The 25,566-nt window shown below is 43.6% G+C and overlaps 1 long non-coding RNA gene across 1 annotated transcript; it reads left to right on the top strand.

Annotated features, from left to right (window-relative positions):
• Positions 1-440: 440 nt before the first annotated feature.
• On the top strand, positions 441-24,979 carry LOC105370067 (uncharacterized). The gene is made up of 4 exons (XR_945528.4): positions 441-3,059; positions 8,077-8,191; positions 12,989-13,132; positions 23,387-24,979. It is a non-coding gene; the product is annotated as an uncharacterized LOC105370067 (long non-coding RNA).
• Positions 24,980-25,566: the final 587 nt, after the last annotated feature.

Consider the following 25,566-nt stretch of genomic DNA (forward strand, 5'->3'; position numbering starts at 1 on the left):
GGACCAAGGACTACAGGCTGGTACAGGGTTTCTGCATGGTCAACCAAGCTACAGTGACTTTGCACCCAACAGTACCTAACCCGTACATGTTGTTGGGTTTGCTGCCAGCCGAAGACAGCCGGTCCACCTGCTTGGACTTGAAAGATGCTTTCTTTAGCATCAGACTAGCCCCTGAGAGCCAAAAACTGTTTGCCTTTCAGTGGGAGGATCCGGGGTCAGGTGTCACCACTCAGTACACTTGGACCTGACTCCGCCAAGGGTTCAAGAACTCCCTCACCATCTTTGGGGAGGCACTGGCTCAAGACCTCCAGAAGTTTCCCAGCAGAGACCTAGGCTGCGTGCTGCTCCAGTACATCGATGACCCCCTGCTGGGACACCCCACGGCATTCGGGTGTGCCAAGGGAACAGATACCCTGCTCTGGCACCTGGAGGACTGTGGGTATAAGGTGTCCAAGAAGAAAGCTCAGATCTGCAAACAGCAAGTATGTTACCTGGGATTTACTATCTGACAGGGAGAGTGCAGCCTGGGATCAGAAAGAAAGCAAGTCATTTGCAACCTGCTGGAGCCTAAGACCAGAAGGCAGGTGAAAGAATTCTTAGGAGCTGTAGGGTTCTGCAGGTTGTGGATCCCAAACTTTGCAGTATTGGCTAAGGGCCTATACGGAGTCACAAAGCGGGGAGACAAGGAACCTTTCAAATGGGGGTCCTGACAGCAGTGAGCTTTTCATGAGTTAAAAGAAAATCTCATGTTGGTCCCAGCCCTGCGGCTACCTGACCTGACGAAACCTTTTACACTGTATGTGTCAAAGAGAGAAAAAATGGTGTTTGGAGTTTTGACCCAGACTGTGGGGCCCTGGTCGAGGCCAGTGGCCTACCACTCCAAACAACTAGACGGGGTTTCTAAGCATTGGCCTGCATCTTTAAGGACCTTGGCAGCAACAACCCAGCTAGCACAAGAAGCGGATAAGCTAACTCTTGGGCAAAACCTAACTATAAAGGCCCCCCATGCTGTGGTGACTTTAATGAATACCAAAGGACATCAATGGCTAACGAATGCTAGACCAACTAGATACCAAAGCTTGCTCTGTGAGAATCCCCACATAACCATTGAAGTTTGCAACACCCTGAACCCTGCCACCTTGCTCCCGGTATCAGAGAGCCCAGTTGAACATAACTGTGTAGAGGTGATGGACTTAGTTTATTCTAGCAGGCCTGACATCCGAGACCATCCTTGGACATAAGTAGACTGGGAGCTGTACATGGACAGGAGCAGCTTCGTCAACCCATAAGGAGAGAGGTGTGTGGCATATGCAGCGGTAACCCTAGACACTGTCACTGAAGCCAAATCGTTACCCCAGGGCACTTCAGCCCAGAAGGCCGAACTCATTGCTTTAATTCAGGCCTTAGAGCTAAGTGAAGGTAAGACTGTAAACATTTACACTAACTCTCGGTATGCCTTTTTAACCCTCCAAATGCATGGGGCATTATACAAGGAAAAAGGCCTGTTGAACTCTGGGGGAAAAGACATAAAGTATCAGCAAGAGATCTTGCAATTATTAGAGGCAGTATGGGAGCCCCAAAGGGTGGCAGTCATGCACTGCAGAGGACACCAGTGAGCTTCCACCTCGATTGCCTTGGGGAACTCCCAAGCTGACTCAGAGGCTCGAAAGGCAGCATCCACCCCGTACTGGGTGTTAGTCACAGCCCCCCTGCTCCTTCAGTCACCTGACCTTGTGCCTACTTATTCTAAAGAAGAGAAGGACTTTCTCCAGGCAGAGGGAGGACAGGTTATAAAAGAGGGATGGATCCAGTTATTGGATGGAAGAATAGCTGTGTCACAGCTGCTAGGGGCTGCAATTGTACTGGCTTGCATAAGACCACCCACCTAGGCGAAGAGTCATTTGAAAAGTTGTTAGGCTGGTACTTCTACATCTCACATCTGTCAGCCCTTGCCAAAACAGTGGCGCAGCAGTGTGTCACCTGCTGGCAGCACAATGCTAGGCAAGGTCCAAAAGTCCTGCCCAGCATACAGGCTTGTGGAGCAGCCCCCTTTGAAGATCTCCAAGTAGACTTCACCAAGACGCCCAAATGTGGAGGTAACAAGTATTTGCTAGTTCTAGCGTGTACATACTCTGGGTGGGTGGAGGCCTATCCAACACGAACTGAGAAAGCTCATGAAGTAACCCATGTGCTTCTCTGTGATCTCATTCCTAGGTTTGGACTGCCCTTACCAATTGGCTCAGACAACGGGCCGGCATTTGTGGCTGACTTGGTACAGAAGACAGCAATGGTATAGGGGATCACATGGAAACTACATACCACCTATCGACCACAAAGTTCTGGAAAGGTGGACCGGATGAATCGGACTATCAAAAATAGTTTAGGGAAAGTGTGTCAAGAAACAGGATTAAAGTGGGTACAAGCTCTCCCTGTGGTATTGTTTAAGATTAGATGTACCCTTTCTAAAAGAACAGGATATTCCCCTTATGAAATATTATATCATAGCCCCCTCCCACACTACAGGGACTCCCAGGCACTCCGCAAGAGCTAGGTGAAATTGAGTTACAGTGATAGCTACAGGCTTTAGGGAAGATAACAACAAAAAATTTCAGCCTGGGTAAGTGAGAGGTGCCCCATCAGCTTACTCTCCCCAGTTCACCCTTTCTCCCCAGGTGATCGGGTGTGGATCAAGGATTCGAACGTAGCCCCCTTGCAGCCACGGTGGAAAGGACCCCAGACCGTCGTCTTGACCACTCCCACAGCCATAAAGGTAGAGGGAATCCCAGCCTGGATCCACCACAGCCACGTAAAACCTGCAGCACCTGAGACCTGGGAGGCGAGACCAAGCCCGTACAACGCCTGCAAAAAAGTAACTTTGAAGAAGACGACAAGCCCTGTTCCAGTCACACCCAGAAGCTAACTGGTCCACGCATGGCCAAAGCATGAGGAAACTCATCCTGGAACTCATTTTCCTTAAATTCTGGATTTGTACAGTAAGGACTTCAACTGACCTTCTTCAGACTGAGGACTGTTCCCAGTGTATGCATCAAGTTACTGAGGTAGGGCAAAAGGTTAAAACAGTCTTTCTGTTTTATAGTTATTATGAATACACAGGAACTCTAAAAGGAACTTGTTTATATAATGACACCCAGTATAAGGTATGCAGTCCAGAAGATGGACAACCTAGTATTCGTTATGATCCATCTGAACACCCCATGACCACAGTGTTTGAAATAAGGTTGAGGACTGGCAACTGGAGAAAAGCCAATAAGAGTAAAATAATAACTAGAACAGAAGAAAAGGGAGTCCCCAAACAAATTATCTTAAAAGTTGACACCTGTGCAGCAATCAACAGTAACCTGTATAGAAATAGAATAAGATGCGGCTCTCTAGATTGGGAAAGGAGCCATACAGTAGAAAATAAGTATGTTTGTCATGAATTAGGACTGTGTAATGATGAATGTAGTTACTGGTCCTGTGTCATTTAGGCCACCTGAAAAAAGGATGAGAAGGACCCTGTCTGCCTTCAAAAAGGAAAGAGTAACTCTTCCTGCACTAGTGGTCACTGTAATCCATTAGAACTAGTAATTACCAATCTCCTTGATCCCCGTTAGAAAACAGGAGAGTATGTAACTCTAGGAATAGATGGAACTGGACAGGATCCCTGAGTAAATATTTTAGTCCAAGGGGAGGTCCACAGGCGGTCTCCCAAACCAGTGTTTCAGACCTTTTATGAGGAGCTGAATCTGCCAGCACCAGAGCTTCCAAAAAAGGAAAAAAGAGACAAAGAACTTGTTTCTCCAGCTAGCAGAAAATGTAGTTCATTCCCTCAATGTTACTTCCTGTTATGTATGTCAGGGAACCACTACCGGAGACCAATGGCCTTGGGAAGCCTGAGAATTGGCACTTACTGATCCAGTTCCTGACACAATTCCAGTCCCAAAGGCCCAAACTAGCAACTTCTGGGTCTTGAAAACCTCGATTATTGGAGAATACTGCATAGGTAGAGAGGGGAAGGACTTCACCATCCCTGTGGGAAGGCTCAATTGCCTAGGACAAAAGCTATATAACAGCACGGCAGGGACAGTCACCTGGTGGGGTCTCAATTGCACTGAAAAGAGTCCATTCAGTAAATTTCTCAAGTTACAGACTGTTCGGGCCCATCCAGAATCTCATTGAGACTGGACGGCTCCCGCTGGACTATACTGGATATGTGGACATAGAGTCTACACCAAGTTACCTGACCAATGGGCAGGTATTTGTGTCATTGGCACCATTAAGCCATCTTTTTCCTACTGCCTGTAAAAAAAGGTGAGCTCCTAGGTTTCCCTGTGCATGCCTCCTGAGAAAAGAGGAGCATAGCTATAGGAAATTGGAAAGATGATGAGTGGCCCCCCAAAAGAATCATACAGTACTACAGGACTGTCACATGGGCACAAGACAGCTTGTGGGGATGCCAAACCCCCTTCTACATGCTCAACTGGATCATACGGTTACAGGCCATCTTAAAAATAATCACTAGTGAAACTGGCAGAGCTTTGACTCTTTTTTAGCCTGGCAGGAAACCCAAATGAGAAATGCCATCTATCAGAATAGATTGGCCTTAGACTGTTTGCTGGCAGCTGAAGGAGGAGTATGAAAAATTCAATTTGACCAATTGCTGTCAGCAAATAGATGATCAAAGACAAGTAGTCAAAAATATAGTTAGAGACATGACAAAGCTGTCACATGTGCCCATGCAGGTTTCACATGGGTTTGATCCTGGATCCCTGATTGGAAAATGATTTCCAGCTCTAGGAGGATTTAAAACTCTTATAATGGTAATAATAATAGTGTTAGGAACCTGCATGTTACTCCTCTGTATGTAACCCATATTTGTCCAGTTACTAAAAGGTTTTGTTACTACCTTAGTTCATCAAAAGACCTCAGCACAAGTGTATTACATGAATCACTATCGATCTGTCTCACAGGAAGATCTAGATAGTGAGGATGAGAGTGAGAACTCCCACTACTGAGTGAGGGTCTCAAAGGGGAGAATGAGGAGAGAGGCTATTTCTCCTACTGTCCCCTGTCTCCAAAGAGAAGGAGGAAGTAAAAGCTGAAAAACAACAGACTGATCGGTGCCACTGGCCAGGCCTGTAGGTTAAAGATTAACCCCCACCCTAATCGCTTGTGCTATCTATAGATCACAGACAATGGTATGGAGACATACTTGCATTGCTTATCCCCACCGCTAATACTAACATATGTGGACGTAGTCTCGTACCCCATGCTTGCTCAATCTATTACGACCCTGTCACCTGGACCCCTTAGGGTTGTGAGCCTTTAAAAGGGTCAGGAACTCTTCCTTCAGGGAGCTCCATTCTTGAGAAACAAGTCGCTGATACTCCTGGCTGAATAAAGCCTCTTCCTTCTTTAACCCAGTGTCTGAGGGGTTTTGTCTGTGGCTCGTCCTGCTACAATAATATATATATGTTATATCCTATTATATAATATATTTATATATTATATATTATATTATATATATTTTATATTATATAATATATTTATATATTTTATATTTATATATTATATTTATATATATATTTATATATTTTATATTTATATATTATATTTATATATATTTATATATTTATATATTATAATATATAATTATATATTATAATATATATTCATATATAATCTATTATATATGAATATATATTATAATATATAATTATATATTGTAAATATATAATATGTAATTCATGGTCTATTTCTTTAGTGCTCAGCAATAACATTCAGCACAATTTTACTCTCCTTATATGTTATATATAATATATAATTATATATAACATAGGATATAACATATATATTATTGTGTATATATATATATATAATATATATAATGCAAGCAATATATATAGGCACTTTTGTTAAGTATTAACTTGTACAGTCACAGGGTCCCACAATAGGCTGTCTGCAAGTTGAGGAGCAAGGAGAGCCAGTCTGAGTCCCAAAACTGAAGAACTTGGAGTCCAATGTTTGAGGGCAGAAAGCATCCAGCACAGGAGAAAGATGTAGGCTGGGAGGCTAGGAGATACATATATATGTGTATATATATGTATACACATTATACATATATATTATATATATAATATTATAATATACATATAATATATATTATATGTATAATATTATAATATAATATTATATATATATAAATTCTGTCCCTCTAGAGAACCTGACTAATACAACCAGCTTGCCAAATTATTCTGCTATGCTTGAAGGTGTGATGGCCTCTGGTAGGCAGCATTTTCGTGCCTTCCCTGCCCCAGTCTTGGTGGTTGTTAGTAGTCTCTTGCTGAGCCTTAACACTTAGAGTCCTTAGAGTGACTTACTCATGTGGTTTGCCTGGTACTGTCGTATTTTAGACTTGAAAATCCTGCATATGAAGAAACTCCTTAGTCCTCTGAAACCCGGTACAGTTTGTCACTCTAGCTGCAGACTCGCAAGGTGTCCAGAGAGCACTGCCATCTCCTAGATCATCATTAAAACAATATGTATTAAGTTCTTCTTGAGCCAGGCACATTTCTCAGCACCGGGGGGGACCTACGCACCAGAGATAAGAAAAAAGGAGAGTAAAATTGTGCTGAATGTTATTGCAGAGCACTGAAGAGAGAACTAGACCATGAACGGAGGACAGAAATGATGGAGAGTGGGGAGGAGCGGCCTCATGGAGAAAGCACCACTTGCCCAACGATCTGGAGGAGACGAGTGAATGAATCATGCCAGTATAGACAGGGTGGGTGGGGGTTCCAGGTAGATGAAAACACAATGCAGTTGGCAAGAGGCTGTACAGAAAATATTCCAAATAGGTTCTGAGAAAATGTGTCTAGTAGATGGTAATGTACTGTTCACTTAAAGGGTTAAGAGTAGGTTGTTCACTCGAGCAGTTCTCCACCTCATGACATTGATACTTGAGGACAAATAGATCTTTGCGCAGGGGCTGACCTGTGTATTGTAGTTTGTTTATCAGCACTCCCGGCCTCTACTCACTCGATGCCTGTTGCAGCCCCCCAGTTGTAACAATCAAAATTGTCTCCAGACATTGCTAAATGCCTGGGGCATGCCAAGTTGCCTCCAGTTGAGAACCAGTGACTTAAACCAATCAAATGCATGCTTAAGAGGGAAATCAAGTATTCTTTTCAACCCATACAGAAGTGATTGTAGAGAGATGTCTGGCAAGAAAAGTCCAGTCACACCAAGAAACATAAATGCTACAAGAATGACTCAAAAACAAATAAACAAACAAAACATCTAAGGCAATTCTACGGAAGCCATTCTACAGAAGTCTTTATGGGGGGAAAAAGGATTTAAAATAATTTACTTCAGCCAATAGAGAATGTGCTCTTCCTGAAGTTAAAGGACTTTTCTTCCAGAACTGAAGAGTCGCATCGGATTCATCAGCTCCAGAGGGAAGAGGTGGCTGTGATCCTGCTGGAGTCGGAGCAGCTCCAAAGGACACTCACAGAGAGAAGAAGGCTGAGACTGCGTGTATCGTCTCTGGATTATATACAGCATTTAGTTTTTAGAGCAATAAAAATATTAGCTATAATTTCCTGAGAACCTAAAATGTACCAATCCCTCTTCTAGGCACTTTCTGTACTTTATTTTTGTCTCATTACAAAAACTTTTTGGAGTTGACATTGTCATCATTCCCATTTAAATGCAAGGAAATTGAGATTCAGAGAAGTTAAGGTGTGTTGTAAAGATTAAATCAACCAATAAATGTGTGGTGCTTAGACTGGTACTTACCATGTAGGAGTTGCTCAGTGGACTTTTGTTAGGAAGCTCTTTTTCTCCTGCAAAGCAGGAACTTAGGGAAGGTGATCCATGCTCATGGCCTGTGGCAAGATCAATCTGAGACCCACTGGTCTAGAGAGAGCCTGTTCCTCTGCATATTCCCAAGTGCCACATGTACAACACTGGACACTCAGGGAACTCTTTAAATGTTGGGAATGAGTGGAAAGCCCTTTCACATTGCTTCTTTCAAGGTTCTAACTGGTGGTCTTCTTCCTCCCTTCTCTTCCCAAGGCAAACAAAGACTGGACTTACTCATTGAGTGCAAAACACACAACAAAGGCTGAAGGCACTTCAAGCACTCGTGGTCCAAAGATCGGGCAGAAAAATTCAGATGCATCCTCACAAAGTGAGTTGTTGGTTTTGTTTCTTTGCTTGCCACCAAGCTAAATAAAAGTGTTGTTGTCTTGGAATAAGAGGAGGGGATTATGCAGTGCAGACTCTCTGAGTCTCTGAGCCCCTCACTCTCTTATCACCATTGTCAGGGAGCTGGGAAGACTGTGGTTTGGCTGATGTCCTTCTCCTTATTCTCTGGGGAGACCCACCTCTCATTGACAGCCAACAGGATGCCCATATTTGGTTCCAAAACAGGGATGCCCACCTGGGTTCTGAGGCTCTGCTAAGCAGCCCCCTCCTCCATCATAGACAAGTTCAATGTTTCCAGGATACCCTGAAACCCAAAATTCAACAGTGTAGCTTTAGACATAAGGGATAATGGGATGTGAAGGGAAGAGACCCTTCAGGGATTCAAATAGTGTCATTGCACCTGACCACCAGGCTTCCCACTGAGCCTGCATAGAGATGCAGCCACAGTGACCTGCGTCTTTGACTTGAATCTGTATTAAAATATGGTGTCTGTTTTTGTAAACTTTTTACCGAATCCTGAAATATATGCAAAAAGTGAATTTATATTATAACATAGAGAAAAGTGCACATATGTGTACAGTGTGATGAATTTTCACAAACTGATACACTCAGAGCAAGAAATTGAATATTACTAGAACACCAGACTCATTCCTCATGACTATGTCTATTTATGACCCTCCCTCTTAGGGTAACATGGTACCGACTCCAACACCATGGCATAGCTCTGCTGGCTTTAGAGGTTACTTTGTTCTCGTCTGTGTCTGACTTCCTGTATTAGTCTGTTCTCACGCTGCTAATAAAGACATAACCAAGACTGAAAAATGTAGGAAGGGAAGAGGTTTAATTGACTCAGTTCAGCATGGCTGGGAGGCCTCAGGAAACTTATAATCATAGTGGAAGGGGAAGCAAACACGTCATTCTTCACATGGTGGTAGCAAGAAGTGCAGAGTGAAGCCAGGGAAGAGCCCCTTATAAAATCATCAGCTCTCGTGAGAACTCACTCACTATCACGAGAACAGCATGAGGGTAACCGCCCCCATGATTCAGTTACCTCCTACCGGGTTCTTTCTACCACACCTGGGGGAACTACAATTCAAGATGAGATTTTGGTGGGGACACAGCAAAAACTTATCACTTCCCTCTTGCAACAAGATGTTAGGAGTATCATCTGTGCTATTGTGCATAGCTGTAGGTTTGGCCATTCTTATTCCTAAACATATGCAATTATATGACTGTACCATATTGAATTTATTTGTTGTATTGTTTACAGGCATCTGGAGTCATTTCCTGTTTGGGCTATTATGGCAGTCCTGCTGCAAACATGCTTGTGGCTGTCTTTGGGTGAACACCTGCATGCATTTCTCTTGGATATAGTTTTGGGGTTTTTTGTTTTGTTTTGTTTTGTTTGTTTCAGATTTAGGAGTTTGAACTTCTGAGTCAGAGGGCATATTACTTTCTTATTGCTACTGTAACAAATTACTACATACTTTGTAACTTAAAATAACACAAATGTATTACCTTACAGTTCTGGAGGCCAGAACTTCAGCTTTACAGGGTGAAAAACAAAGTTCAGTGGGGGCTGCTTCCTTTTGGTACTAAGGGACTGTGTTTCCTTGTCATTTCCAGCTTCTAGCGATGTCCACATTCCTTGGCTCCTGGCCCCTTCCTCCACCATCAAAGTGCATTGTTCTCATCTCTTTTGTCATCACCTCCCCTTATTCTGACTTAGGTCCTCCTGCTTCCCTTTTACAAGGACGCTTGTTATGACATTGAGCTCAATAAGATAATCTAGGATCATCTGCCATCTCAAGGTCCTTAGCTAGTCACTTTTGCAGAGACCTTGTACCCTGGAAGATGACATACTCCCAGGCTTCGGGTACAATGTGAACATCATTGGAGGGCCAGTATTCTATCTGTCACATGGGATAAACCTCAATTCAACTTTAGTAGACGTTTTGGTGAATGTACCAATTAACCTCCCAATGACAATATTTGTGATTTCTCTCAGATCTTTGCCAGCACTCAATATTTTCTGCTTTTTTAGTTTCTTTTCTGCCATTCTAATGGATATGTGTCTGATTTTTGTACTATTGAATGGTGAGTGATGAAATAATGCTGCATTTTATTAAAAATAACTTGATGTTGAGACTTGCTGGAATGGATTAATAATAAGAAGAAAACATAGAAAAGTTATTTTTCAAAAAATCCAAAAGTGGGTCAGTGCTGCGGTAGCTGATGAATGACTCTCCCACATAGACGTGGGCTCCTTGGTACACACGAAGGTCTGTCCGCGCTGCGCTCTTTCCAAATGATGTTCCTGTCTGAGCATCACTCTTTGGGAGGAATTTATCCTTGGAATTCTAGATGCAACCAGCCACTAGGAAAGAGGGTGTGATTTCTGGAGTGTCCCTCTTTCCTGGAAAATTTGCCCAGCCAAAGTGTCAGAATTCCATATGTTCCAAGTCGCTACGGCAGCCAATTTTTCTTCCTGAGATTCATCTGTCTTTTGCCTTGGAGTTTCCTGGGGCAGGGAGGGGTGACTGTTCTCTAGGAAAGCATAAGAAGCAGAAATGTTGTTGTGAAGATGGAAGGAAAGAGCAGTTGTGCTTGAGCTTTTAGACCTAAGTAAAGTGCTAGGGTATATGTTGAGGGGTGGATGTTAAAGGTCGGGATGGAGAACATGAGCCAGTAAAGTTTCAGGAGAGAAAACCAAGATGCCCCAGGAAGGCAAGCCCCTGCGTGGCTACTGGGATGCACTTTTATTTGGGATCTAGAAAGAATAAAGAGGCAGGTGCAGAATTGAGACTTGAGCAGCAGATAGCTGGAAGGCATATTTGGCATCATGTAGACAACAACCCTGCCAACACCTAGAAATCATCCTGGGCTGTCCCCCACCTCTACTCAAATGCAATAACCTCCCTCAGGTGACACACCCCGGAAGTGCACGTGGACGATCTGATGGTTCTCCAGACACATCCACAGCACTGGGGCGGGTCCTCAGGCTGCCCGTGGAATCCCCGCAGTAACCAGACGCCTCTGTCATAACCCAGGGGCCATATTTTTAGAATCAGGTACTAAGTGCCATGTGCACAGACTTTGAGTTCTGGCAGTTTCACTTCTTTATGGCACGTGGACGATGGGTGGCAGCTGCTGCCCCAGGTGCCCTGCCGTGTCATCCAATCATCTCCGTCTCCTTGTGGGGCTCCACTTCTGGGATACCTGCACCCAACTCTGCAAGGCCATCAGCAGAAGTGTCAGTGGCTAGCACAGCAGGTGGATCTAGAACCAGCTCTCAGCTCTGTGCCCGCCACGCCATTTGTTAAATACTTTGAAAACCATCCTTAGGCAGAAACATTCTGCCTTTGCAAGCTCCAAAGAACATTTCACCCACCTCAGTGCTCTCTGTGTGGATTTGAAAAATACAGCCAGAAGGGCAGCTTGTAGGGAGGCATCGCCACCTGCCTTCAGTGGACTCTGTCTGCAAGTACACAGAGAATGATGCTATTATATTTTGGTAGTAAGAGGAACAAAATAATAATTAAAATAAACGCAGAGGTGCCCAGAGCCTCACAGGACATTTCTCACTGGTACACAGGCCTCTGGGAAGCAGAAGGGAATTGATCTCCTTTGCAGCCAAAACCATGCCGACCTCTGCGGTTTTGATTTATGCCTCTGAAAGTCCAGGCATGTCATTGGGGTATGACTTCCATATAATTAAGGCACAGCAAGCCGTGGGTATTCCACAGCCCTGCCATCATCCTGATGGTTCTCCAGACACATCCACAGCATTGGGGCAGGTCCTCAGGCTGCCCGTGGAATCCCTGCAGTAACCAGGAGGCCTCTGTCATAACCCAGGGGCCATATTTTTAGGATCAGGTACTAAGTGCCACATGCACGGACTTTGAGCTCTGGCGGTGTCACTTCTTTATGGCAGAAGGACCTGCCTTCTTGGCTCTTCCTCACAGGAGGGAGGTCTGCACACTTTATACCCAAGCATCAACCGTCCACATTATCCCACAACACTGTTTGTGTTTCTTTCAAGTGTGTGGTCACCCTCATCTTCCTTACCTGTGTGCTCAGCATGTGCCCGCTTCCTCTGACTGTCATAGCCCCTGAACTGACAAAGGATGTGCGGCGTCCCCAGCTCTGCCTTGCAGCACCCAGGGACTCCCCCTAGGGCTCAGATCACACCAACGCATCCTGGATGGGTTGAGTTTGAGTTTTATGTCACACCGGAGCCCCTGAAGCAGAAAGTGACCTTCTTCCCAATCAATATTTGTAAATAGAAAATTCATGACCTTGGAAAAATGATGGGGCTACAAGATGCTTTTTAAAGGAAAAGCACTGACAAAAATCCTTACCACAACTCCCCAAAGGGAAAGGTAGAGGTTCGTATCTTTTTCCTTGGGGACTGGCCCAACGGTGCATACACTCTCTCTATCTCATTTCATATATATTCATATATATATATGTGTGTGTGTGTGTGTGTGTGTGTGTGTGCGTGTGTGTACACATACATATATACATACACATATGCATGCACATACAAAGAAATATAAAAATAATTGTATTACCTACTTGTATGCATGTATGTTCATGTGGCCTCATATGTATGTGTGTATGGTATGTGTGTGTATATATACATTTTTATATATGATGCTATTATATTTTGAGAGTAGAAGGAACAAAATAAAAATGAAAGTAAACTCAGAGGTGTGTCTGTATATATATACATGCACACGTACATATAGACATACGTGTGTGTTTTTCCATCCAACAGAATTATGGCAGCAGCAAGTAAGAAGGTAATGATCCTGAGAATCAGCACCCAAGACCAGTGGTCAGTCCAGCAGGAAAGAGATAAAGGTGGCATGGGACAAGCGCCACCCTCACCTCTGGGGACCATCCCCCAGACACCAAGCAGGTGAGCAGGAAGAGCCTCAGGTGCTGGGAGTGGGTGTAGGATGCAAGATCCCTGTCAACACCAGGTGTCTGTTCTGGGAAATCGGTGCTTCCGGTGTAATAGGAGATGCAGGCCCTCTGCTCTTGGGCAAGCTTCAGCCACACAGCTTCTTCCTATGCACCACCAGCATTATTATGTCATTATATTGCTTTTTATTTTCCACAGGAAACAGCTAAGAGTTAACATGGGGAAAGATAGAAATGCTGTAAAAGGCAGGAGAAAGTCTCATATATATGTATATATATATATCTCAGTTATATGTAATATCTAATTACATAGATATATATCATTAATATACAGGTTTTATATATAATATATATTTACATAGATGTTATATATTTATAGATTAAATATAATATCTGTTTACAAAGATATTATATATTATATACAACTTATTGATACAATTAGAGACCTACAAATGTTATCAGAATAGTACAAAGAATTCTCAGTTTCTCTTCACCCATATTCCACAAATGTAACTCTTTTATTACAATCAACTCCCCCCTTCTCTCTCTCTGTTACCCGCACACAACCACCACCACCCTCAACACACACACAGAATATTATTCCGCCTTTAAAAAGAAGAAAATCCTGCCATTTATAAAACATGGAAGCTGCAGGACATTTTGCTAAGTGAGATAAGTCAGAAACAGAAAGACACTGAAGGAGCTCACTTATAGGTGGCGCCTATGAAAGTCTAACTCATAGTAAGAGTAGAATGATTGCTACTAGGTCAAGTGCAGGGAAGAACTGGGTTGATTTGGTTAAAGGATGAAAAATTTCAAGTCTGTATGATGAATACATTCTAGTATGTTCAGTATGGCAACTATGTATAGGTAGTTATACTCTATTTGCAAACTTGAAATTTGCTAAAAGAGTACATCTTAAGTGTTCTCATAACAAAGAAAAAATGGTAACTTCATAAGGCAATGAATATGTCAATATGTCACTTAACTTGAGTGGAGTAATTATTTCACAACGTGTGTGTGTGTAAACATTACATTGTTCAAGTTAAATAAATGTAATTTAAAAAATCAAACAAAAATTGTGTACCATCCATACTAGGAGGTAGTATACAGCCACTAGAAAGAATGAAGTAGCTCTGCATTTGCTGAGATACAACAATCTCCAAGGAACAATTATCTAAGAATAATTAAGATGTATGGCCAAGTTAAAAAAGTGAAGCAAGGCTGGGCACTGTGGCTCATGCCTGCAATCCCAGCACTTTGGGAGGCCAAGGTGGGAGGATCACTGGAGCCCAGGAGTTTGAGGCCAGAATGGGCAACACAGGGAGACCCCATCTCTACTCCAGGCCAAGGCCGGAGGATCACTGCTATGGTGGTGTGCACCTGTAATCCCAGCTACTTGGGAGGCTGAGGTGGGAGGATCACTTGAGCCCGGGAGATCACGGCTGCAATGAGCTATGATTGCGCCACTGCACTCCAGCCTGGGTGACAGAGTGAAACCCTGTCTCAAAAAAAAAAGTGAAGTATAAAACAATGCTTATAGTATTTTTCCATTTGTGAATGCTGTAAACAGTCCTGTCTCCAGAGATGTTCACCTTGGTCATTTGGTTAAGGCAGTGAGTGCCAGGTTTATCCACTATCAGGTTAGCATGTATTCTTTGTCATCAATATGTATCTTTTGAGGAGATGCTTTCAGACCATTTAAACATCCACGGCCAGGCATAATGGCTCATACCTGTAATCCTAGCACTTTGGGATGCCAAGATGGGAGGACTGCTTGATCCCAGGAGTTTGAGACCAGGTTGGGCAACATGGTGAGATCCTATCTCTACAAAAATTTACAAATTATCCAATGAGAGGCACATACCTGTGGCCCCAGCTACTTGAGTGGCTGAGGTGAGAGGATCACTGGAGCCCAGGAGGTTGAAACTGGAGTGAGCCATGGTCACACCACTGCACTCCAGCCTGGGTGACACAGAATGAGACCCTGTTCCCAAACAAAAAATAAATAAATATCCTGTGAAGAGTCACAAGAGTGAATTTGAAAATTAAATCATTTTCAAATCCATAGATGAATCTTTTGGACTGAAATTTAATGCTTGATACATGGTGAACTTCTAACTCCACCATTGCTTCAGCATTCATCAGAATAATGTTACTTGATTTCTGCAACAGGGAAAATCTTTCCCTTCTCTCCATGTATTTATTGACCGTTTATCTCTCTGTAATGGACTGAATGTTTCTGTTCCCCCCAAATTTGTGTGTTGAAGGCCTCAAGCCCAGTGCAATGGTATTTGGAGTTGGGGCCTTTAAAAGGCTGTCGGGTTTAGAGGAGGTCCTGAGGACAGAGCCCTCGTGAGGGGATCAATGTCCTTATAAGAAGAAACACCAGAAAGATTGCTCATTCTCTCTGCCTTGTGAGGGCGTGGTGAGAAGCTGGCCTTCTGCAGGACAGGAAGTAGGGCTTCACCTGAAAGTGATCAGCTGCCCCTTAATCTAGGACATCCCATCTCCAGAACCATGAGAAATAAAGGTTTGTTGTTCAACAACTCAGTCTATAGCAGTCCGGACTGACTAAGACATCATTAGTCAATCCATCGATATCAGGATGGGCTCATGGATTCTTACGGTATTCAGCAGGTTGTATTCCTTGATTATCATTATTTTATGCGTAACTGGTTCTGCATTTGCCCAGTGGCCGTACCTTCAAGCTGGCTTTCGTGTCCTATTGACAAATCTCCATCATTTTTTAGTCTTTCCCTGCTTTTTCATTCCCCCAAAAGTCTTCAGGCTCATCTGTTCTTTTCCTGTGCCAGCCCTGCTCAGCCATTCCTAGGTGAATGCACTTTTTAATGTGTCAAACCAGGGCCTGGGTAGCTATTGAGTTACGGCCCCTTAGCACTTGCTTGCAATTGTTTTGCAAATACCACAGCTGAGGTATAGACTATGGATAAGGTGGAACACATCTCATATCTCACAGTATTAAGCCCGATGAGCTTTGTATGTCTGGCAAGCAGTCTGCGTCTCTCCAGTTTAGAAGCCACTTAGAATTTTGGGGGTTGAACTTCCGTGGGAAGTGGAGAGGGTTCATTTTGAGTAGTCTTCCGTGAAGACATGCAACTTGCAGAAGGAACCCTCATTCCTATGGTAACAGCCTGATCTAGACCGTCTCTGCTTCTCTTCCCTCTTCTTACCCCCTGCCACCTTTCCTTTGAGTGGCATGCGTCTTGCATGGGGCTGTTTAAGGGGTCTGTATAATGCACAACTCCAGACGCGTCCCTCCTTTGCTTTTGGGAAAGCTGTCAGATTTAAAATACTCACTCTGTCAAACCCTGACAAAATGAAGCCAGGGAAAACCATGAGAGGAGCCCCTTATGCATATTTGCCTGATAATGAGAACCATCTCAGGAGACCGCCAGAAACCACAGCCCTGCACCAAGGCCACTGCAACCTTAGACACAACGTGCTCCTGCAGGGGCATCTGCCCAGCTGCCTCGGGCTGTCGCCACCCTTGTGATTAATTCTTGTAGCCAAGGATGATTATTTTTAAACAACTTATGTAATCATCCTCATTTTACTTTTAAAATCCCTTGTCATCCTTTGTCTTCCTGAATGCACCCATGGTTGCCTTGCCAGGCATGTTTTGCATTGCAAGGCCCTGCTATTCCTGATTAAACTCAAAATCTTCAGTGCCTCTCTTTGTTTGTTATTTAGATTGACACCTTATAGCTGTCGGTGAGACCCAAACTTAGCTCTCCTTCTGAGGCCCTTCGGGGACTAGTACTGATCATCTTGTGTTTTTATCACCCGTTCTCTTTTTCTTCTTTACTTCTTTAAAAAGTTGAGCTTTACAGTGTTAGGCACAAAGGCTTTTTCTAATGAAAGTATAAGTGAGTGAGTGAGAGCAGGTAGGTTAGGTTGGAACTTCCTTTTGCAATGGAATTGGACAGGGAGGGCCACATTTTTGGTGACCCCAGAAAATCTTGTCTGGAATTGTTTTTTGCCCGCTTTTGAAGATCTCTTCCAATGAGTATAACGTTACTGTGGTTGAATGGTCAAAGCCTTCTAGGCAGATAGCAATTGATGAAGGTACGAAACTAGATAAATCCAATCTCAATCTCTTGGTTACACTCCATTACAGCTACCAGAAAGGACTTCTTGAGGTGACTTTTTATCCCCACAGAGCTTTTGGAAATCTGCATACACTTGCTAAGCATCCTGTAAATCTCAATTGCAAATACGTGGAGAGGATGTGAGATTTGTGTGTTATTTAGAATGATTTCAATTGCAGTTAGTAGAATATTATGTAAAAGTGGCTGAGATTATAGGAATTTATTGTATTGCATAACAGACATTTCAAAAGTGGTCATCTCCAGGTTCTTTCTAATTCAGTGACGCACACCAGCATTACTCCAGTGTTTCTATCTTTCCCTTCCATTATGCCCAGTGCATTGGCTGTCATAGTTCAGCTTGTGTCCTCATAGTCACAATACAGCTGCAGCTCTTCCAGACATCACAGACTCACCCATTTATATCCAAAGGCAAGAAGAGGCATGTATGTCCTCATTTATGTCATTTTACCAAAGAACAAAACCTTTCCACAAATCCTGTCACCAGTCTTCTCTTTAGATCCCACTGGTACACAGTGGGTCCTAGATTGAGAGACTCTGGGGATGTGCATATTTGACATTATTAAGCTGCATAGATGGGAGCAGGTCCTGCGGTTAAGGAAGAGGCGTGAGAGAATGACTGATTGGTAGGCAGCCATGAGTCAGGCCTTCTCTTTCCAGGTGGCATCTGTTGGATTCTCTGCATTGTGTGGGGCCCTGTGAGTTTGCACCCCCAGTGGGAGACTTCCTCTTGGTTTCTGGGCTTATCAGGTGGCTTCCTCCAATTGATGTAATTAGGTGCCACACTAATGAAGTTCCTCATGCACGTGGAGAAGTTCGGGGGTGGCCCGGTACTAGGAATCTGGGGTCAGGTGCTCAGGCAGTGTTTTTAACATCCTGTCTCCCTGTCCTGGCTCTTTCTCAGGCCTGCCTTTCCTTCCTGGAGGCAAGATAGCCCTGCTAGCAGCTCCCGGCATCCATCTACTGACTTGGCCACTGCAGGGAGAAAGCTGCTCTCCCCAGACAGGCCCAGCACAAGTCCCAGGGTGGGTGATCACTGCCTTTGTGTGGCATAACTTAGATTATACATCCACTCTGAACCAATCACTGTAGCTAGACCCAGAACCAGGGTTCAGACCAGCGCCGCCTGAATGGCTTCGGTAGATAGTGGGAGAGAGGTTCTAGGTGGGCAGCAAATGCTGATGGGGACAGGAACTGGAGAGGGCACCAATCCGGTTACCACAGTCTCATGGGTCCTGCTGTCGTGCCATAGGAGTCCGAATGAGATTTTCCAGCTCCCCGCCCTCAGAAATCACTGTCTGGGTACATCACCGTAATATCTGTGGATTTGGCATGGGGCACACATTTTCTTAAACTATCTGGTCAAGAGTTGCTGTTTTCAAGTTGACAAACCAACACAGATGATGGTTATCACCTTTGTTTTGTGAGAATAACTTCCGCATTATTTTTAGAATGTATAAGAGAGATTGCTTAAGAAAAAGTAATTATGGGCCACGTGCGGTGGCTTACACCTATAATCCCAGCACTTGGGGAGGCTGAGGCGGGCAGATTGCCTGAGCTCAGGAGGTCAAGACCAGCGTGGGCAACACGGTGAAACCCTGTCTCTACTAAAATACAAAAAATTAGCAGAGCACGGCGGTGTGCGCCTGTACTCCCAGCTAGCTATTTGGGAGGCTGAGGCAGGAGAATTGCTTAAACCCGGGAGGCTGAGGTTGCAGTGAGCCAAGATCATGCCACTGCACTCCAGCCTGGGTGGCAGAGCAAGACTCCATCTCAAAAAAAATAAAAATAAAAAATAAATATATAATCAGGATTACATAATTAGGAGTTCTCATATTCCACTGCCTCTTTCTCCTCGCCTCTATTCCTTCCCTTTTCCTATTTGACCTTGATTATGGTGTTAGACGTGCAGAAAGCTTTGCCTTGGCATGGCAGTGTGTGCCTATCTAATACGCCTGTAAAAATCCATTCCATAATATAAGTACATAGCGTTTCTTTTTATCCTTTTTGTTGAATTATGCTATCAAATGAGATGTTAAATGCAGGCTCATGGGGTGTGTTTGACAGCTAACAAAGTGAATATATGAATATATTTCTAACAAAACGTTGCACGGAGCTGTAATCTCTGAATTGTGACAACCTTGGGTGGAATCGTTTTACTAGAATATAATGTACAAAAGGCCTGAAATATTGTGATAAGAATTTTAAAAGCTGATGCATGCAAAGACCCAATGCACTGGATGAGAAAGGCAGAGAAGGTCTGAATGTAAAATATTTTAGTGAACGCTCATTGTGAGGACTGAAGGTGAGAATCATGTGATTATAAGAAGGAAAGAAGACAGTGGAAAATAAGCAAGCTTGGAAGTGTCTGTACAGCTAATGCCAAGCCACAGGAAACAGAAGTTAGCTGAGAGACTCCTTGCATGGGAACTGGGTACACCCACATAGGTCAGCACTGAGGCTCTTTCCTAAGTGGACATTGTCAGACATGTTTTCTTATGTGCACTTAAATATACCTAGGAATAAAATTACTGGGTCAACGTGTACGTGGGTCTTCAGCATGATTAAACATTGCCAAGTGCTTCTTATAAGTGATTGAGCCAAGTGGCAAAGTGGAGAATTTTCGGTTCCTTTTTTTTTTGAGACAGAGTTTCTCTCTGTTGCCCAGGCTGGAGTGCAGTAGTGCCATCTCGGCTCACTGCAACTTCCAGCTCCTGGAGTCTCCTGTGTCAGCCTCCCGAGTAGCTGGACTACAGGCACACACCACCACACCTGGTCAATTTTTGTATTTTTAGTAGAGACAGGGTTTCACCATGTTGGCCAGGCTGTTCTCACACTCCTGACCTCAAGTGATCCGCCCACTTCCGCCTCCCAAAGCCTGGATTACAGGTGTGAGTCACCTCACCTGGCCAAACTTTCAGCAGTTATACTCTTATCCTCACTTCCTGATTTCAGCCTTGGTTATTTTGAACAATCTGATAGGCATGGAATGGAATCTCATTTAAATTTGTGTTTATCTGACTACTGGTGAAGTTGGGCATTGTCTTAGACGTTTACTAGCCATTTTGTGTTTTCTGTGAATAACACATTGAAAAGAAAGCCATTCCCCATTCTTCACATGACTGTGACCCACCCAAATATAGGAGAGCCTTGACTTGTGGGACCTGCTGGACAGATGGGTCCCGCAGGAGACTCTAAGCAAGATATGAGAGTGCATCTGCAGAGGGGAACCCAGAACGCTGAGATCTTCGGCCCATATCCTGCATGTTAGTCACGAAATGAGTGATGGTGAATATTTCTCCAATTCCCACTTACGTGTCTCTGTATAAGGTGATGACATTGATTGAAATGGGTGATGACGAAGAAGCTAAACTGCATTCTTTTAACTTACCTAGGCAAAAGGTCATCTATCCCTGCAGAATGTTCTAAACTTTTGGGTTAATGATATCTGCATGATTTTTATTTTAACTCAACCTAATCTGCTTCATTTTATTATTCATTATGTCACCGTGTGAATCCCAACCCACTCACTGGCAAAGTTTAATTTCTGGGAAGTCTGATTGGCACAACTCAGCCAAGAGAAGGTTATGGGAAGGGAAGTGATGGGATTTCCAGGGAGCGGGGGGATAACAGCTCAAGGGTCTTCTCAGCTTCCAGAGTCCCCTCCTGCCCATGCAGAGAATATGATGTAAACATGGCTGAGATTGTAGGAGCTTATCGTATTGCGTAACAAGCATTTTAGAGGTGATGGGCTCTGGGTCTTGTTTCGTTTTGTTTTGTTTTAATTCAGTGACACACTAGTGTTATTCCAACCTTTCTATCTTTATCCAGTGTTTCTGTCCAATACTGTACTGGAGCTGACATCTGAAATGACACTTCTCCCCTTTATGGGAGAAGGACTTGGCGGGGACAAGATGGCCATTACAGGTGTTTCTGCCAAGGTAGCCACCACCTTTTCTGTTGGGGTCATTCGTCCCCACTTCGCTGTTTCTTTTGGAACCAGTAACTGCTACTGAGGCTTCTCCTGGCCTGTGAATAATTTGGGAAAAAATAAATAAGTATTGAGAGTAGAATGGATATATTGTCTCCATTTGGATGACATGAACAGCTAAGCAGGAGAAAAACAAAAGTATAGCATTTCCCCACAGCTCCACTCTTACATGTAATTCAAAACAAAAAAACAATCAGAACTCTAACATGAGCCTCAGAGTCAAATAAATTCTGATTTTCCCCTCATAATATATATTTTATATTGAAGATTGAAAAATTAAATTTTGACTTTTCCCCTTTTTTCCTGTTTCCTTTCTTTCCTCTAACTTTTCTCTCCTTTTCTTCTCTCTCCTCCTTCATATCCTTCCCTTCCTCCCTGCCACTCTCCCTTCCTTCCCTCCCTTCCTTCCTTCCTTTCCTTCCTTCCCTCCCTTCCTTCCTTCCTTTCCTTCCTTTCCTTTCCTCCTTCCTTCCTTCCTTCCTTCCTTCCTTCCTTCCTTCCCTCCCTCCCTCCCTCCCTCCCCCCCCAGGTGATGATGGGGGCCCTCTCCACTAATGCCTGAAATACATGCTTAGCAAGCTTATTACCAACATATTATATGTGCAGTGAATGTTTCAACCTATTGAGTCATGCAGACTTGCTGGTTTTGTTTTTTTTTTTTAAATTATGTCGTGGTGTTACAGGTGGCCTGTGATGGTACATACATTTGTTCAGTCTGTGGCTAGGAATCCATGGTAGCTTGGAGAAGTAAAGAGGCCCAGGATAGAAATGGGAGTGAGTATATCACTGCTGGGCAGCATTGATCAACAGCAGAGGTTGGGCTGTGTGGTAGACTTTATTACAGTTCCAGACTGTTTGCTCCCTCTCTCTGTAAGAGGAGTCTGTGTCCTTTTCAGTGTCCTGTGACGCTTTGTGTGCCAGTGAGAGAAGTATCCATGACTTCTTATTATGCCTGGCACAGAGTAAGGGATCTCTAAGTGCTAACTATTATAGTCATATTTTTTTAATGTAACTTCAAAAGGGAGACCAAAAGAGACATGCATTTATAAAATGAGAGAACACTTTTGTGTGTGTGCATGGAGACAAAGAATATCTGTATATGATTAATCCGCAAACATAGGGTCTCCATCCTGCCGCACCTCGCACAACATGCTAGAGTACAAACTAGAGTTGAGGGCGGGGAGGAACGTGATGGCAAAATGTGAGTGGACCAATCCAATAGCACTCCAACTTCAACAGAGGACATAAAGCAGCTTGCAGCAGTTACCGTTTGATTTAACCATAAATAACAGAAGAAGAAGATGTAGGGTGAAGGATTACTTTACTGTTAAAAAAGACTTATCAAAGAAAAAAAGCAAACATGCAAGGAAATTGATTTTATATGGGGAAGTGCACTAGAGACAGCATCCCTCGTCCAAAGATCAGAGCCCTTAGCAGGTTGGTTTTGCCTTAGCCTTTTGTAGGGAAAAGGAGATAAGCTACAAAGAGAGTGACTAACAGCTGAGAATATTTTCCAATCATGGCAAGTCTCAGGCACTTAGCTGAAGAGGCAATGTTTACCTTGGTGTCTACCTAGTTTTAGAGTTTCAGGGAAACAATTCTGGTCTCAGCCAATCACTCAGGAAATGAGAGAGACGTTGGATGGTTTGTGTTTGGCCCTGTCACAGGCAAATAAAAGAGTCACCGTCACCGTGGCCTGGTGTGGTGGCTCACACCTGTAATCCCAGCACTTTGGAAGGCCAAGGCGGGCGGATCACGAGGTCAGGAAATTGAGACCATCCTGGCTAACGCGGTGAAACCCCGGCTCTACTAAAAATACAAAAAATTAAAATTAGCCAGGAGTGGTGGCGAGCACCTGTAGTCCCAGCTACTTAGGAGGCTGAGGCAGAAGAATGGCGTGAATCTGGGAGGCGGAGCTTTCAGTGAGCTGAGATCGCACCACTGCACTCCAGCCTGGGTGACAGAGCGAGACTGTCTCAAAAAAAAAAAAAAGAGTCACCTGTGAGTTTTATGGGAGCCATGAGAAAACACAGACATTATTAAGCCTTTTTTTTTTCCTATCAGCAAAAGGATAAGGACAGAAGAATTCAGTAAACAAAGGTTTTTTTTTTTTTTTTTTTTTTTTCAGGAAGACGAAGCTCAGGTCACATTCATCATGGCTGAACTCCAGGTCACCTGTGGTGCAGAGAAAGTGGCTGGCTCAGATGTCCAGGCCTGTGAGTAGGAACAATGACGGGGCTTTCTCTGAAGCTTGCATTGCACTTATCCGCAGCGGGGAAGGGGTTGCGGAATGACCTCTCTCCTTGTGAACTCCAGCAGAGCAGTTTTTCTGTGTATTCGTTTTCTATTTTTCTTGTTATTGTTTTGTTTTCTAATTTTACAAATTGAAAATGATATATGACCAAGTTTACTCTTCTCTCCTTGGAGACTGAATAATTTTTCAAATCTTCTCTTTCTCATGGACGAATCGTCCCTTCCTGTGTTTAGAAGTGCAGTGTTGTGTTGAGCATATGGACATGACTGTGAGTCCCTGGATGTCTTCTGTTTCTCATGGAGGAATTGTCCCTTCCTGTGTTTAGAAGTGCAGTTCTGTGTTGAGCAGACAGACATGACTGTGAGTCCCTGGCCGTCTTCTGTTTCTCGTGGAGGAATTGTCTCTCCCTGTCTTTAGTACTGCAGTGCTGTGTTGAGCAGACAGACATGGCTGTGAGTCTCTGGGCTTGTGCCCTGGCCCAGTCATTGCCTAGGCAACTCCCTCCCCACGGGCACCTGGCCTCTCTCCACTTTACTTTCTGAACCTGTAAAATGGGTAGGAGGATGGAGGATGGTACGTCCTACCTCATAGAGCTCATGAGAGGATTGGTACAGATGAAAGCACTCGGAACACTGGCTGCAATATGATAGGTCCTCATCCAATGTTAATTACCATTATAATTATAAGCGTCTTTCAAAAGTATTTGTCATAATACCTTTTTATGTGGATGGAAAGAGTGATATAAATTTTCCCTGTCATGATGTGAACAGAACCTGGAGCACGCTTGGGTGGAGCCTGGAACTTTGGGTTATTGAAGAGCCTGCTAGCACTAGTTCTAACAGCTGAGATATAGAATCAGTCCAGGTGTCCAATAATACATGAATGGATGAAGTATCCATGCAGATACATGAATTGAAAATGTATATACACATACACTTTAAAATTTGTGTATACACAATGGAATACTATTCAGCCATAAAAAGAATGAAATCCTGTCATTCATGGCAAAATGGTTGGAACTGGAGGACACCGTGCTCAGTAGAACGAGCCAGGAACACGAAGTTAAACGCCTCATGTTCTCACTTATTCGTGGAAGCTTAAAAATGCTGATCTCATAGAAGTAAAAGGTAGAACAGAAGATCCTAGAGGCTGGGAAGGATTGGAGAAAGGGAGAGATAGGGAGAGATTTGTTAAAGAATACAAAATTACAGCTAGACGGGAGGAATAATTTCTAGTGTTCTATACCACTGTAGGATGACTACAGTTAACAATAATATATAGTTTTAAATAGCTATAGGGAGGATATTGACAAGGAAATAATAAGTATTTGAGATGATGGAGATGCAAATCACCCTGATCTGATCACTGTAAAACATATGTATTAAAATTTCCCTGTTTACCCCCATGAAGGTGTACAATTATTATGTGTCCATGAAACATAAATAAAGTAAATTTTTAAGACTCCAACAAATGCTGAAGTAGGAAATCTATCTGTTTCATGAGGTAATTGACATCAGGCCTCAGGAGAAGCAGGAATGCTCAGCATGGTAGGCAGGGACCCTCACTGTTACAGTGTCCTCATCACTCACGCTGCCCTGTTAGTGCTTGTGCGGTAGCTTCACTTAACTGGTCATCCCAGGAGCAGGCCAGACCCAGCAGAAAGCACTGCCTGTTCTTGCTCATGGGTTTACCTACCGCACATGGCTGGGGAGAGCTGAGTGCAGCTCTTAAGTGAGTCCATCTTCTTGGGTCACAAGGACATTTCAGCTCCAGCTCAGAACACCCCCCAAGTGGGTGCTAAGAATGCGGACTGTAAGATCAGAAAGTGCAGGAATCATTATGAGACGGTGATAAGAAATGTAATTTTGATCTGACATCTGAAATAAATTAACAAGAACATTTCAATGAAGTCCCTGCAACTGTTCTTTCTGGCCTCAGTGGTTCATTGTGAGCCACTGTATAAATAAGCAGTAAAAGATGTGCAGGGGAAACTACAGACAGGAATATGTGGTTGCTGAATCATCTCAACTTTCCCTGGTGATCAGGTCATGAAG

This window comes from Homo sapiens, chromosome 12 (genome assembly GCF_000001405.40).
Source record: "Homo sapiens chromosome 12, GRCh38.p14 Primary Assembly".
Lineage (NCBI taxonomy): Eukaryota > Metazoa > Chordata > Mammalia > Primates > Hominidae > Homo > Homo sapiens.